Source organism: Homo sapiens, chromosome 11 (assembly GCF_000001405.40).
Source record: "Homo sapiens chromosome 11, GRCh38.p14 Primary Assembly".
Taxonomy (NCBI): Eukaryota; Metazoa; Chordata; class Mammalia; order Primates; family Hominidae; genus Homo; species Homo sapiens.
Window position 1 is genome coordinate 121,257,944 of NC_000011.10, and position 16,239 is coordinate 121,274,182.

Genomic DNA, 16,239 nt, shown 5'->3' on the forward strand with positions numbered 1-16,239 from the left:
AGTCTCCATGACTCCATATATGTTTATACTCCCTATATTTTCATATCTAGTTCTGATGTCTTCTTTTCTCAGCCTTGGGTCTATAAATTCAATTACCAAATAAATGTTTTAACCTGCTACTGCCCTTAAGAACATGTCCAAAATTGAATTCATGCTCCTACCTGACAAACCTGATCTTCCTGTTATTGTCCCTTAGTTGAGTGGTAAATTTTATTGTTAGTTCAAGTAAACATACCTAAACCTGGAGTCATTCTTGACTTTAGATAGAAGATATAAAGAAACAATAACGAGTTATCCAATCTTGTCAAATGTATGCTGCAATAACTCCAGACCTTAACTGTGCTGCTTCATCCTTGTAAAAACCTCATTTTAGGTACTCATGACCTTTCACCTAGATTATTTAAATAGTGTCTTAATTTGTCTGTCTACTTGCACTTTTGCCATCCTAAAAATTGTCCTCCACGTTGCTTCTAAAATTACCTTTCTAATATGCATTTTTTTCTTCTCTCCTTTTCTTAAAAGTCTTTAATAGCTTCTCATTGTTTACAAAATGAAGACCAGTTTCCCTAACTGTACCCATCTGTCTAGCCCATCTCCTGTAATTCTTTGTCATATATATTATATCTCAACAATTCCACATTATGTAAGTTTTTTTGTACGTATAGTTCCATACCTGAAACACTCTCTTCTTGTGCCTGATAATTTATTATTCAAAATCTGGCTCAGGTGTGACCTCCTCTCCTCATTTTATCTGAGATTGTCCTCCCTATAGAGTTATTCACCTCATGTAATACCTCTATTTTTTGGATATATTTCTGTTATTACATGTATCACATGTACTATATGGTTTAAATTTTTCATATGTCTTTCATTGACGTATACAGAACTTATCATAAAATTCACCTTTTCAAAGTGTACACTTCAGCAGTTTTCAGTTTATTCAGAGTTGTACAACCATCATCATTATCTAATTTCAGAACATTTCATCACCTCAAAAAGAATCCCCCATATCCATTAGCAAACAATCTCTAAACCCGCCCCCCCCCCACCTCCCTGCCTCCAGCCCCTGGCAAACACTATCTATATTCTGTTTCTGTAGATTTTCCTATTCTGGACATTTCACATAATTAGAATCATGTAATATGTGGCCTTTTGGGCCTAGATTCATAACGTTTTCAGAATTCATCCGTATTGTAGTATGGATCCATACTTCATTCTTTTTAATGACCAAATAATATTCTGTTATATGGATGAATTTATCTATGTTTATACGGTCATCGACTGATAGACTTGGGGTTGCTTCTGCTTTTTGGCTATTATAAATAATATTGCTGTGAATATTCATAAACAAATTTATGTGTGGAGACATATTTTCAGTTCTCTTGGATATATTCTAGGAGTAGAATTATTGGGTAACGTAGTAATTCTGTGCTTATCATTTTAAGGAACTGCCAAACTATTTCCCAAAGCAAAGACATCATTTTACATTCCCATCAGCAATATTTGAGAGTTCCAGTTTATCCATATCCTTGTCAACACTTGTTATTACTTGACTTTTTGATTATAGCCCACTTAGTGGGTATGAAGTGGTATCTCACTGAGCTTTTGTTTAGCATTTCTCTTATGACTTGTTAAGTTAAACAGTTTTTCATGTGCTTATCGTCCATTTATATATCTTCTTCAAAGAAATCTTGGTTTAAATAATTTGCCTATTTTCAAAATTGGGTTGTTTTTTCCTTTCTTGTTAAGTTGTAATAATTTTTATGTACTCTTGATACAAAACGCTTATAGACATATTATTTTCTCCCATTTTGTGGGTTGTCTCTTCACTTTGTTGATTGTTTCCTTTACTGTACAGAAGCTTCTTAACTTGATAAGATCCCGTTTGTCCATTTTTCTTTTGGTTGCCTGTGCTTGTGGGGTATTACTGAAGAAATCTTTGCCCAGACCAATGTCCTAGAGAGTTTCACCAATGTTTTCTTATAGTAGTTTCAGAGTTTGAGGTCTTAGATGTAATTCTTTAATCCATTTTGATTTGATTTTTATATGGTGAGTGATAGGGGTCTAATTTCATTCTTCTGCATATGGATATCCAGTTTTCCCAGTATCATTTATTGAAGAGACCGTCTTTTCTCCAGTGTGTGTTCTTGGCACCTTTGTCGAAAATGAGTTCACTAGGTGTGTGGAATTGTTTCTGGGTTCTGTATTCTGTTCCATTGGTCTATGTGTCTGTTTTTATGCCAGTACCATGCTGTGTTGCTTACTGTAGCTGTGTAGTATAATTTGAAGTCAGGTAATGTGATTCCTCCAGTTTTGTTCATTTTACTTAGGATAGCTTTAGCTATTCTGGGTCTTTTGTGGTTCCATATACATTTTAGGGTTTTTTTCTATGAGGAATGTCATCGACATTTTGATAACAATTGCATTGAATCTGTAGATTGATTTGAGTAGTATAGACATTTTAATAATAGTGATTCTTCCAATCCATGAACATGAAATATCTTTCCATTTTTTGGTGGCCTCTTCAAGTTTTTTCATCAGTATTGTATAGTATTCATTACAGAGATCTTTTGTTTCTTTGGTTAATTCCTATGTATTTAATTTTATTTGTGGCTATTGTAAATGGAACTAATTTTTTATTTCTTTTTCAGTTTGTTCACTGTTGGCATATAGAAATGTTACTGATTTTTATGTGTTGATTTTGTATCCTGCAACTCTACTGAATTTGTGTCTCATTCTAACAGTTTTTTGGTGGAGTCTTTAGGTTTTTCCAAATATAAGATCATGTCATCTGCAAATAATTTGACTTCTTCCTTTCCAGTGTGGATTCCCTTTATTTCTTTCTCTTGTCTAATTGCTCTAGCTAGGATTTCCAGAATGAGTTTGGAAGTACTCTCTCCTCTTCTATTTTTCAGAATAGTTTCAGGAGGACTAGTGTTAGTTCTTCTTTAAATGTTTGGTAGAATCTAGTAGTGAAGCCATTGGGTCCTGGGCTTCCCTTTACTGGAAGACTTTGTATTATGGCTTCAATCTTGTTACTTGTTGTTGGTCTGTTCAGGTTTTGAATTTCTTCATGGTTCAATCTTGGTAGGTTGTTTGTGTCTAGGAACTTGTCTATTTCTTCCAGATTTTCCAATTTATTGCCACACAGTTACTCATATTAGCCACTAATGATGCTTTGAATTTCTGTGGTATCAGTTGTAATGTCTTCTTTTTCATCTCTGACTTTATTTAATTGGATCTTCTTTTTTCTTAGTCTGGCTAAATGTCTATTTTAACTTTTCAAAAAAACAAATTTTTATTTCATTGCTTTTTTGGATTGTTTGATTCGTTTCAATTTCATTTATTTCTGCTCTGATCTTTATTATTTCTTTTCTTCTACCATTTTTGGGTTTGGTTTGCTCTTGCTTTTCCAGTTCTTTAAGATGCATCATTAGATTGTTGATTTGTTGTTTTTCTTCTTTTTGGATACAGGCACTTAGAAGTTCAAACTTCCCTCTTAGTATTGCTTTTGCTGTATTCTATAGGTTTGGGTATGTTGTGTTTCAATTATCATTTGTTTCAAGACATTGTTCAATTTTCTTCTTAGTTTCCTCATTGACTCACTGGTCATTCAGGAGCATACTGTTTAATTTCCATGTATTTGTATAGTTTCCAAAATTCCTCTTGTTATTGATTTCTAGTTGTATTCCATGATGGTCAGAGAAAATGCTTGATTTTATTTCAATTATTTGAATCTTTTAAGACTTGTTTCTTGACCTAACATATTGTCTATCCATGAAAATGATCCATGTGCTGAGGAAAAGAATGTGAATTCTTTGGCTATGGATGAAATGCTCTGCAAATATCTATTAGATCTATTTGGCCTATAATACAGGTTAAGTTCAATGTTTTTTTGTTTATTTTCTGTCTGGAAGATCTGTTCAATGGTGAAAGTGAGGTGTTGAAGTCTCTAGCTATTATTGTATTAGAGTGTATCTCTCTCTTGAGCTCTAATAATATTTGCTTTATATATTGGATGCCCCACTGTTGGGTGCATTTATACTTAATACTTAAAACTGTTATATCCTCTTGATGAATTGACCCCTTTATCATTATATAGTGACCTTGTTTCTTATAGTTTTTCTCTTGAAATCTCTTTTGTTTGAAATAAGGATATTGACTCCTGCTCTTTTTTCATTCTCATTGGTATGGAATATTATTTTCCATCCCTTTATTTTCAGCCTGCATGTGTCTTTATAGGTGAAGTGTGTTTCTTGTAGGCAACAGACCAGTGGGTCTTAGCTTTTAGCCATTCAGCCACTCTGTCTTTTGATTGGAGAGTTTAGTCCATTTACATTCAATGTTACTGTTGGTAAGTAATAACTGTTGCTATTTTATTATGTTTTCTGGTCTTTCCTTCCAGTCTTTTTTTTAGTGAAGGAGATTTTCTCTGGTGATATGATTTAGTTTTTTGCTTTTTATTTTTTGTGTATCTGTTGTATGTTTTTTGGTTTGAAGTTACATGAGGTTTGCCAATACTATTTTATAACCCATTATTTTAAGCTAATAACAACACCATTTGCATAAACAAACAAAAACAAACAAGCAAAATAAAACTAAAAAAGACTCTACACCTTAATTTTGTTCCCTCACTTTTTTCTCTTTTCTTTTTTTAAGATGGAGTTTTGCTCTTTTGCCCACGCTGGAGTGCAGTGGCCTGATCTTGGCTCACTGCAACCTTTGCCTTCTGGTTTCAAGTGATTCTCCTGTCTCAGCCTCCTGGGTAGCTGGGATTACAGGCATCTGCCACCATGCCAGGCTAACTTTTGTATGTTTAGTAGAGACAGGGTTTCACCATATTGGTCAGGCTGGTCTCAAACTCCTGACTTCATGATCTGCCCACCTCGGCCTCCCAAAGTGCTGGGATTACAGGTGTGAGCCACGACACCTGGCTTGTCCCCCACTTTTTAAATTTTGTCTTTACTTTTCGTTTTTGTGTTGATGAAATACCTGAGACTTTCTTTGTCTGTGAAAGTATTTCTCCTTCATGTTTGAGGGATAATTTTGCTGGATATACTATTCTAGGTTAAAAGTTTTTTCCTTCATTAAATGTGTCATGCCACTCTCTCCTGGCCTGTAAGGCTTCCACTGAAGTCTCCTGTCAGATGTATTGGAGTTCCGTTGTATGTTTTTGTTTCTTTTCTCTTGCTGCTTTTAGGATTCTTTCTTTGTCCTCGACCTTTGGGGGTTTGATTATTAAATGTCTTGTGCTAGGTTTCTTTGAGTTAAATTTGCCTGGTGTTCTATAGCCTTCCTGTACTGGAATATTATATGTTTCTCTAGGTTTGAAACATTCTCTGTTATTATCCTTTTGAGTAAACTTTCTACCCCATCTCTTTCTTTACCTCCACTTTAGGTCCAGTAACTCTTAGATTTGCCATTTTAAGGCTATTTTATAGATCCTATAGGGATGCTTCATTGTTTTTTATTTTCTCTTTTGTCCCCTCTGTCTATTTTCAAATAGCCTGTCTTCAAGCTTACTAATTCTTTCTTCCATTTGATCAATTCTGCTATTAAAAGATGGATGCATTCTTCAATAGCCAATTGCAATATTCAACTCCAGAATTCCTGCTTGATTCTTTAATTATTTCAATCTCTTTGTTAAATATCTGATAGAATTGTGAATTCCTTCTCTGTGTTAGCTTGAATTCCTTTGAGTTTCCCCAAAACAGCTATTTTGAATTTTCTGTCTGAAAGTTCATAGGATTGGTCCCTGTTGCCTTATTTAGTTCATTTGATATCATGTTTTTCTGGATTATCCTGATGCTTGCAGATGATTGTCTGTGTCTGGGCATTGAAGAGTTAGGTATTTATTGTAGCCTTTACAGTCTGGGCTTGTTTGTACCCATCCTCCTCGGGAAGGCTTTCCAAATATTTAAAAGGATTTGAGTGTTGTGACTTAAGCTGCATCTGCTTTAGCGGGGACTCCAAGCCTAGTAGCACTGTGGTTCTTGCAGACTCATAGAGGTACTGCCTTGAAGGTCTTGGACAAGATCTGGAAGAATTATCTGGATTTTTGTTCTTTTCCCTTACCTTCTCTCAAACAAACAAAGTCTCCTTCTCTCTTTGTTTTGAGTCATGTATAGTGGGAAGTAGAGTGACACAAGCACCCCTATGGCCACCACCTCTAGGAATGCTCTAGGTGAGCCCTGAAGCCAGCACAGCACTGGGTCTTATCTGAGGCCTGCTATAACCTCTTTCTGGCTAACGTCTATATTCGCTCACAGCCCTGGGGCTCTACAATCAGTAGGTGGCAAAGCCAGCCAGGTCTATATCCTTCCCTTTAGGGTGGAAAGTTCTCCCAGGCCCTGGGGAGGTCCAAATATGCCACCCAGAAGCCAGAGACTACAGTAAAAAACCTTAGAATTCTACCTGGCATTCTATTATACTGCAGCTGAGCTGGTACTCAAACCATAAGACACAGTCTTTCCATATTTCCCTCTCCTTTCCAAAGGCAGAGGAGCCTCACCCTATGGCCACTCTCGTCTCAGGCCGACAAGGTGTTTTGACAGACTACTGCTTGTGTTCCCATAAGACCCAAGGGCCCTTCATTTAGTAGGTGACAAATCCTGCCAGGACCAGCTTCTTCCCATCAAGGCAATGAGTTCCCTTCTGGCCCACAGTATGTCTAGAAAATGTTCCTTCTGGCCCAGCATGTGTCTAGAAATGTCTTGCATCTTGGATACCAGGCCTTGGATACCATGACTCTGACTGGTGCCCTTTCCTGCTGTGGCTGAGCTGGTATCCAAGCTGCAAGATAAAGTCCTCCCTACTTTTCTGTCTCCTCTCCTCAAGTGGAAGGAAGGGATCTCTTTTGGAGCTGTAAACTATGCAGCATGGGTTTCAGGGAGGGGTAATGCCAGTGAGGTAGGAGGCAAGACTTGACTCCAGAGGCAGGGCTCAAACATAAGAACAAATTGAGGACTAGCTAAAACAGGGCCAGGGCAGAAGCAGCTTTCCACCAGACATTCCCACCAGTGTGCCATGTCAGTTTACCATTGCCATGACAACATCCAGGAGTTACCACCCCTTTCCACGGCTATGACCTGATGTCCCAATAGTTACTACTTCTTCCCCAGAAATTTCTGCATAAACTACCCCTTAATCTGAATGTTATTAAAAGCTGGTATAAATATGACTGCAAAACTGCCCTGAGCTGCTACTCTCTACCTATGGGGTAGCCCTGCTCTGCAGGAGCAGTCATGGAGCTATAACACTGCTGCTTCAATAAAGCTGTTTTCTTTTACCTCCGTCTTGCCCTTGAATTCTTTCCTGGGCAAAGCCAAGAACCCTCACAGACTAAGCCCCACTTGGGGGTTCACCTACCCTGCATCAGCTTGGTGCTCAACATGGGGTGAAGAAAGAAGACAGCATCGTGATAGTCCACAGTCAGTGAGCAGCAGTCTGCAAGGTGGCAGTCAGTGATCGTTGAGTGGCAGTCAGTAATTGGCAAGTGGCAGTCTGCAAGGTGACAGTCAGCAAACAGCAGTCAACGAGGCAGCAGTCGGCGATCAGCCAGTGGCAGCAGGCGATTAGTGGGACAGTGATTGGCGGGACAGTGATTGGCAGGACAGTAATTGATGGGATGGCAGTCAGCAGGCTGGCAGTTTGTGGACCAGTAGTTGGCAGAATGATGAGCTGAGATGCAGTCAAGTAGAGCTGTAACACCCAACCTCTAACGCTAGCCAAAGGCTCTTTTCAGAGCAATCATTTTTCCTGGCATGCAGTGGAGCCGATCGGATGGGCAAGTGGCCATAGTGCTACGGTTTGTGTGGGACCTACTGCTCCAGCTGGCAGAAGAGTGAATTACCAGCCCCATGCAGGCTCCTCCCACTGCGGAAGCTGAGCCCACTGGTGGGGTGGCCATAGTGCCCCTGCCTCTTGTGATAGCTGCTGCTCCGCTGGCAGACTGGTGAGTTAGCAGCCCCCATGCAGGCCCCTTTGACCTCAGCAGCTGAGCCCACCCATGCTGAGGGATCTTCCCCTGGGTCCCATGTGGAAGATCAGTTGGTGCCATTTCTGCTCTGGTGGATGGGAGTGTTCCTTCTGCCTCCACCCCTGTGGTATCCGGAGAACTAGGGAATAAAATAAAAGCCTTTGCCTAGGTGATAGTTAGAAATCTCTCATTGTTTGAGTGCCCCAAAGCATGTCCTTGTCACCTCTTCCCCTAGTCCTCTATCTTCTCACTCCATTTTATTGTTACATCAGTCATTTCATTTTTAGTCCTCAAATAAGTGCAGTCTTATGTTTGCTTTTAACTTTCTGTTAATTTTATGTGGGCAATTGTTTAAGGTAGGATTCTTGCTTGTGAGAGGTCCCCTACTTGGTCTTGGTTTCAATGTTACCTGCCCCCTGAGTGCCCCAGACTTTCTAGCATTTGGTGAGAGGATCCTCATTGGCTGAAACTTGAGCACTCTGAGTTTTCAGCATTGGTATTTTTTCTACTCCTCAGACACTCTGGGATATTTGGTGTTGACATTCCCCCTAGGGTTGTGGGTTCTAGCCCTCCCCTTAGGGGAATATTGATCTTGCCTTCTTCTGCCCTAAAGTTACAAGTATTATTTTTCTGATAGCCAGTTGCTAGCCCCTTCCTTTGTGTTGTCTTACAACTGCCTTGCTCAAGCCCCTCTTGGTCAACGGAACTGGGAGTTTCCAGGCCCCTGGACTGATAAACAGTCACCTATAGTGGTAGACAAGTGGCCACCCGAATATTTCAGTGTCTCCACTACTGGGCAGGTTCTTCAACAAGTCAAAGCCTCTGAGATTTCCCTTTATTTATGGAGGAGTCATTATTTTTCCTCCAAAATTTAGAAGCATATGCATTACGTTGCAAAGAATCCCTTCTTGGGGTAGGGGAGGGGAGAGGTTTAGTTTAGAATCTGCCGATGAAAGGCACTTAAATGATATTTAAGAAATATCACTTGTATGATATTTGAGGAATAGAAGAGATGTGGAAGTCATTATTCACTATTAGTGGCAGGTAGACTTGTGGACAGAAGGCAGATAGGAAGTTTGCAGCAGCTCCCAGACAAGCTTCTGAAATTGCCTACTTCCATACCATAGATGGCTGATATCTACGGAAGCTTACTGTGATTTCGACATCCTTTATATTCTAGAAACTCACAGCAGTCCTCCTGATTTCCCCTCCCTCCAGGTCTTCCAGATGTTTTAAAAGCATCTAAATACATATATAAAATCTCTTCTGACCAAATATCTACAGTAGTTTCTGATTTCCTGTCTGAACCCTAACTAATAGAGACTTTGATATCAGTATTGGTTTCAGTAAAGAGATCCTAAAGGAAACTATAATTAGTTGTACTGCCTGGTTACATAGGCAATCAGTGATGACTTCAACACTAGTGGGTAACAGAATACTAGTAATCCATGGCATTCAGTGAAAAACAATTACTTAACAATTCTTACCTGTAGTTGACGCAGAAGCACTTTAAGGTGGAAAAGAGGATGACACTAACTGTAAGCGTGGGCTACCTGCTTCAGACTATGCTGGAGACCTCGTAGAAGAAACAAGACAAGCTCATGGGTTTAAAATCTTGGTTCAAAGTACTTTTAGAGAACCAGAGAACTTCTGGTTCCCTTCAGAGTTCCAGGAGTAAGTCTCTTATCTCTTGTACTCTGAGGGGTTGACATGTCCCAAACGAACAGATTTAAAATGAGATGCTGAGGATTACATAATTAGAACATACACTGTGTTCACATCCTTGTCAAGTCTCTTATGTAAAAATTAGGGCATACATTGAAAAAAGAGAAGAATCTGAATGTTGAGATGTTGGCATTTGTGTGGATTCCAACGAAACTTAGAGACTTGAACTTCCAAAGTCCTCCCTTCTGGTAGAAGTAGTTTATCCTTGCCATCTAAGATTAGCCTCCTGTGTTGCAGACCCTGTAATGTTCTCACTTGAAGCATCTTTGGATGCTCTCAGACACACACTGAACATCTCTCATAGCTTCTTGACCTACAACTAGGGCAAAAGTTGACACATTTTTTTCCTAAAGGAACACACTGTAAATATTTTATGCTTCCAAGCTATATAGTCTCTGTCACAACTACTCAGCACTGTTGTATTGCCAAAGCTGATATAAGCAAAATGTGCACAAATGGGCGTGGCTGTATTCTGAGAAAATTTTATTTATAAAAATGGGTTTGCTCATGGGCCATAGTTCATCAACCTGTAACCGGCAAAAGGTTCCAGCTGCACACTGCTTGTAGAAAGAAGCCAAAATCATAATAAGGTGTGATAAAAAGAGAGCAAGATGTTATTATTTGTGTCAGCAAGAGGAAGAGCAGGTGAAAAAAATTCCACTCCTCAATTTATGGAGGAACACAGGGGGTTTTTTAAAGGGAGGGTTTGAAATGCAGAAGAGGTTGGGAGGGGCTGTGCCTAGGAGGTGCTAGGCTGTGTGATCTGCTCCAATGGCTCATCTTGAATTATTTTTCCATCTGGTGAAGGGGCTGGCACCGTCGTGGGTCCTACCAGGTTATAAATGTACTGCAGTCACTCTTGTAGTCAGTCTCTAGCTGGGAGTGGGTTCTGGACTTGAAGTAATCTTTTGTTGGAGAGAGAATTCTGGAGGTGTCTGGTCCCTATCAGGATCCGACCTCTGAAGCTTTTAAGGAAACATATGACCAGAGAAGTGAGTATGAGGTGTGCTTAACAAGCATCTGGGTGAATAAATATGCACAGGGCATGGGAACATAGAGTGGGAAAGGGAGGGGACTGAAGGAAAGAAAACATTCTGAGGTTGTCAAGTTTATCTCAGAGCAGCATCTTGAAACCTAAGGAGGAAGCGGGGGCAGGGAGGAAGAAGGGGAAAGAAATAAAAGTTTTAGAACATGATTTAGGGCTAAGCTGTTAAGCTGCTTGATTACAAACCCCTTCTGTAAGGGGATGTATTAACCTAAGAAGAGATACCTTACATACCAAAGGATTACAATATTTTGCCAATTTACATAAACAGATATCTGGGAATGAATTATAAGAGCACTAAACCAGATAGGAATTTATTGATAAGGGTAAGCATTCCAGAGAATCTGCTTCCAATGTTTAGTTTGAGCAGCTGGAAGTGGCAACTACTCCTGATGAATTGTCACCTCTCTTTCATCTCATCCCTATCACTAGTTGATGGGGGAAGAAAATATTTGGGACTAGTTTACACATTGTTCTGTACAATTATTATTCTGTACAAATATTACTCTGTACAGATTATTCTGCACGATAAGCTGCCATCAGCCAGATTTGAGTGGCTATGGCATTATAGCTTTATTCAGGATGATCCTGAATGACAAGGACAAAAGGGGCTAGTATAAACAGTACATTTAGCTGTTCATTTGCCCGGAAATAGGGATGGGATGGCACTGTGAATAATAGACATTTTTTCAGTAAATGGTGTTGAGTTGATTAAATAGCAATGAACGGATTAATCTTGATCCTTACCTCACACTGTTCACAAAAATCAATTTCAGATAGATTGTAGATATAAACGCAAAAATAAGACAAAGTTTTTAGAAGATGATATAGAATGTCTTTGTGACTGGGGCATGCAGTGATTTCTTAAATAGGATCAAAACAGCATCAAATTAATATAAAAGATTAAAATTTTCACTACATTAAAAGTAAGAATCATATAGTTTTAAATAGCATAAAAATCAAATACCTAAGAATAAGTCTAACAAAAGACATCCACCAAAAGATGCCATCAAGACAAAGAAAATTCAAGCTACAACTGGGGAGAATATATGTGCAATACATACAACTGACAAATTATATATGCAGAATATATAAAGAATGCCCCTGGTCCCAGGGGCTACAAATATAAATAAATAAATAAACTCAAATATTGGTGTTAAGCAAAGGGAGGAAATCACTGAGAAGAATTTAAACTGAAAGCCGGCCCTTATAAATACTAGAGACCAAATTCTTGCCGTCTTCAAAACCTCAGAATGAGAATTTCAATTACAGTGATCTTGGATTAGAAGTATCCTCAGAGGGCTGGCTGAAGCAAATTAAATTTCCCCGTGGAGAAACTCATCCCGGGTCTCAAAGGATTCCAACAAATACAAATCATTCACTCTTGTGCCTCATTTAGAAAATGATTCTCCACTTGAGCTTTCTAGTACCATTCTTGCATTGCAGAACATGCTGCTCTTTCATATCTGTCAGGCACTGCACAGGCAATTCTCTTCACCTTTTAGTTCTATCGCTAGACCCTGTGAACTCTCTTTTCTCCCTCCAATCTTATCTTGAGCTGTGAAGCTTTATTGACTTCCTTTGACAGTCAGTATCCTCTCTGTGCTCCTGTCCTATTTTAGCACATAAATTGCATTTGTAACCCAAATTTCCCTGGGCCCCACCAGTCTGTGGTTATGAATGACAACACATCAATATTAATAGCCCAGATGTCACAGATTAATTGTCCCTTTTCCCCTGAGTCCCACACAACATCTCCCTTGGATAATTCTGGAGACGTGTGGGTGTGCCCTGATTGTGCTAGCGAAAAATGCTCTGTTCGGCTGTTGCTAAGAGAACCACATCACCAGCTTTCTGTAAGAGCATTGTTCCTGGCCCAGACTCCGAATCCCAGGAATCTAAAGTGAAAAAGTGCAAAGATATGCAAACACCACAGCAAGCATAGTCATTTTTTGTTTGCTTGTTTTAATAGAAGTAAATGGCAGAATATGCAGCTAGAAATGTAAAGCATTGTTGCTCTGCAGAGCAGCATCAGGAGATAGGAACTGCTTTTCTTTGCTTTCTTTATAAGCATATTATTTGTATTTTTAAAGACATACATCTATATCTTTGATAAAAATAGACCAAAAACTTTTTAAATGGCTCAGCACGCCTTTCATTCTTCACTGCATTGCAGTCAGACTGTCTTCTGTGAGGAAGTGAGGAGACTGCCTCTTCTCACTCTGTGTCTCATTCTGTCACCACCTGGCCCCGAAGCCAATTGATTCTACCTCTGTAATCCACAGAGGTCTTTATGAAAACTTCTCCTTCAGCCTCTGCTTGCAACTCCGTAACATAGGATCATGGTTCCACATAACGCAATAAGGATGGCCACATATTTCTTGAAAAACATATGCACTTTTTTACACACTGTAGATGATAGTATAGATAAGTGCTTAGAGCATGCTCCGACTTCTGCTGTTGGACAAGATGGAATAAAGGGTTGAGATTTACCCTCCTGCCTGAAACAACAGCAACAACTAACACAACCAGAATACATTTAAAAATGGCTTTTAAGATACCAGATATCAGGCAATGAAGAATAGCATTGCTTAAGAAATGAGAAACAAATGAGCCCTCAAATTGCCAGTTTACTGCCCTGAGAGAGTTTCTAGGCTGTAATGCAGGAACAGAGAACTAAGGTGGAACATGATGGAGTTCCTAAAATGAGGAGACAGAGCTGAGACTATGGAGATGCCAAGGCAGCTAGGGTTCATTGGACAGAGCACCAGAGAGGAGAGAGCTGTACAGAGAGAGAATTCCAGAGATCTGTAGGTCTCCTTGAGGATCTATCAGCAGATGCATTTAAGGAAACTACCTAAGGCTGGGGGAAAAAAACTTCTAAGAGAATTAGAGGGAACAGGGCCCAACACTCCTATGGGGCCAATCTACTCACCAGCTAGATAGGAAAAAATCATTCTGGCTCTACCTCTTAGTCTTTTCAGCCTGATATGAAAAATGTCATAGGCTGAATAGCTTATAAACAACATAATTTTAATCTCTCACAGTTCTGCAAGGCCAGCATGTCCAAGACCAAGGTGCTGGCAGATATGGTGTCTGGTGAGGGAATGCTTTATAATTTATGAATGGCCATCTTTTTGCTGTGTTCTCACATGGTAAAAGGGACAAGACAGCTCTCAGGGGCCTTTCATAGGGACACTAATCCCATTAATGAGGACTATGCCCTCATAATGTAATCAACCCCAAAGGCCCTATCTCCTAATACTATCACGTTGGTGATCAGGTTTCAGTGTATGAATTTTTAGACGACACAAACATTCAGACCATAGCAACCTAGCAAACTCTTACAAGCTGTGTGCCCTTCGGTAAGTTATTTACATTCTCTGTGGTTCAGACAGAAGGAAATAAGGATTCGAGCGTCAATAAATGAAATAGAGACTAGAAAGACAATGGAAGAGATCAACCAAACTAAGAGCTTTAAAAAAGAGACAAATCTTTAGCTAGATTAACCTGGAAAAAAAGAGAGGATTCAATAAATAAAATTATAAGTGAACAAGAAGACATTACAACTGATATTACAGAAATATAAAGGATCACAAGAATCGACTATGAAGAGTTATACGCCAACGAATTGAATAACCTAGTAGTAGTGGATACATTCCTAGAAACATACAACCAACCAAGACTGAATCATGATGAAATAGAAAATCTTAACAGACAAGCAACAAGTAAGTATATAATAAAGGCTGGGTGCGGTGGCTCACATCTGTAATCCCAGCATTCTGGGAGGCCAAGCGGGGGGAGGATCATCTGAGGTCAGGAGTTCGAGACCAGCCTGGACAACATTTGAAACCCCATCTCTACTAAAAATACAAAAATTAGCCAGGTGTGGTGGCGGGCACCTGTAATCCCAGCTACTTGGGAGGCTGAGGCACAAGAATCTGTTGAACCCGGGAGGCAGAGTTTGCAGTGGGCCGTGGCCGCACCATTGCACTCCAGTCTGGGAGACAAGAGCGAACTTCCATCTCAAGAAAAAAAAATAAATGAAAAGATATATAAAAAATAACCTCCTAACAAAGAAAAGCCCAGGATAGGTGTCTTCACAGGTGAATTTTGCCAAACATTTAAAGAACCTAATGCCAATCCTTCTCAAACTCTTCCAAAAAAGATTGTAGAGGAAGGAACACCTCCAAACTCATTTTATGACGCCAGCATTACCCTCTTACCAAAGCCAGATAATGACACATCAAGAAAATTACAACCAATAACCCAAAAATCCTTAATAAAATACTAGCAAACCAAATTCAACAGCACATTAAAAAGATCACACACCATAATTAAGCAGGATTTATCCCTAGGGTACAAGGATGGTTCAACACACACAAATCAATAAATGTGATACACCACATTAACAGAATGAAGAATAAAAATCATATGATAATTTCAATAAATGCAGAAAAATAATTGGACAAAATTCAACATCCTTTCATGATAAAACTCCTCAACAAATTAGGCATAGAAAGAATGTAACTTAACATAATAAAAGGCATATATGACAACGCTACAGTTAACATCGTACTCAACAATGAAAAGCTGAAGTTTCCCTCTAAGATCAGGAACAAGATAAGTGTGCTTTGTTTCTTTTCAACATTGGAGAAGTCTAGCCAGAGCAATCAGGTGAGAAAGAGAAATAAAAGACATCCACATCAGAAATGAAGAAATTGAACTGTCTGTGTTTGCAGATGATATAATCTCATATATAGAAAACTCTAAAGACTCCACCAAAAAAACTGTTAGAACTAATAAAACACATTCAGTAAAGTTGCAGAACACACTATCAACACACAAAATTCAGTTGAATTCTTCCTTCCTTCCTTCTTTCCTTCCCTCCCTCCCTCCTTTTCTTTCTTTCTTTCTTTCTTTCTTTCTTTCTTTCTTTCTTTCTTTCTTTCTTTCTTTCTTTCTTTTTCTTTCTTCCTTCCTTCCTTCCTTCCTTCCTTCCTTCCTTCCTTCCTTCCTTCATTCCTTCCTTCCTTCCTTCCTGTCTCTCTCTCTTTCTTTCTGAGAGAGGGTCTTGCTCTGTTACCCAGGCTGGAGTACAGTGGGATGATCTCAGCTCACTGCAACCTCTGCCTCCTGGGTTTAAGTTATCCTCCCACCTCAGCCTCCCAAGTAGCTGGGACTACAGGCATGCACCACCACATCTGGCTAATTTTTGTATTTTTTGTAGAGATGAGGTTTTGCCATGCTGCCCAGGCTGGTCTTGAACTCCCGAGCTCAAGCAATTAGCCCACCTTGGCCTCACAAAATGCTTTCAGGAGTGAGCCACTGTGCCTGGCCTCAGTTGCATTTCTATACACCAGTAAAGAACTATTTAAAGAAGAAGTTAAGAAAACAATCCCATATATAATAGCATCACAAAGAATAAAATACTGAGGAATAAATCTAACCAAGAAGGTGAAGAATCTGTACATGGGAAACCATAGGCTAT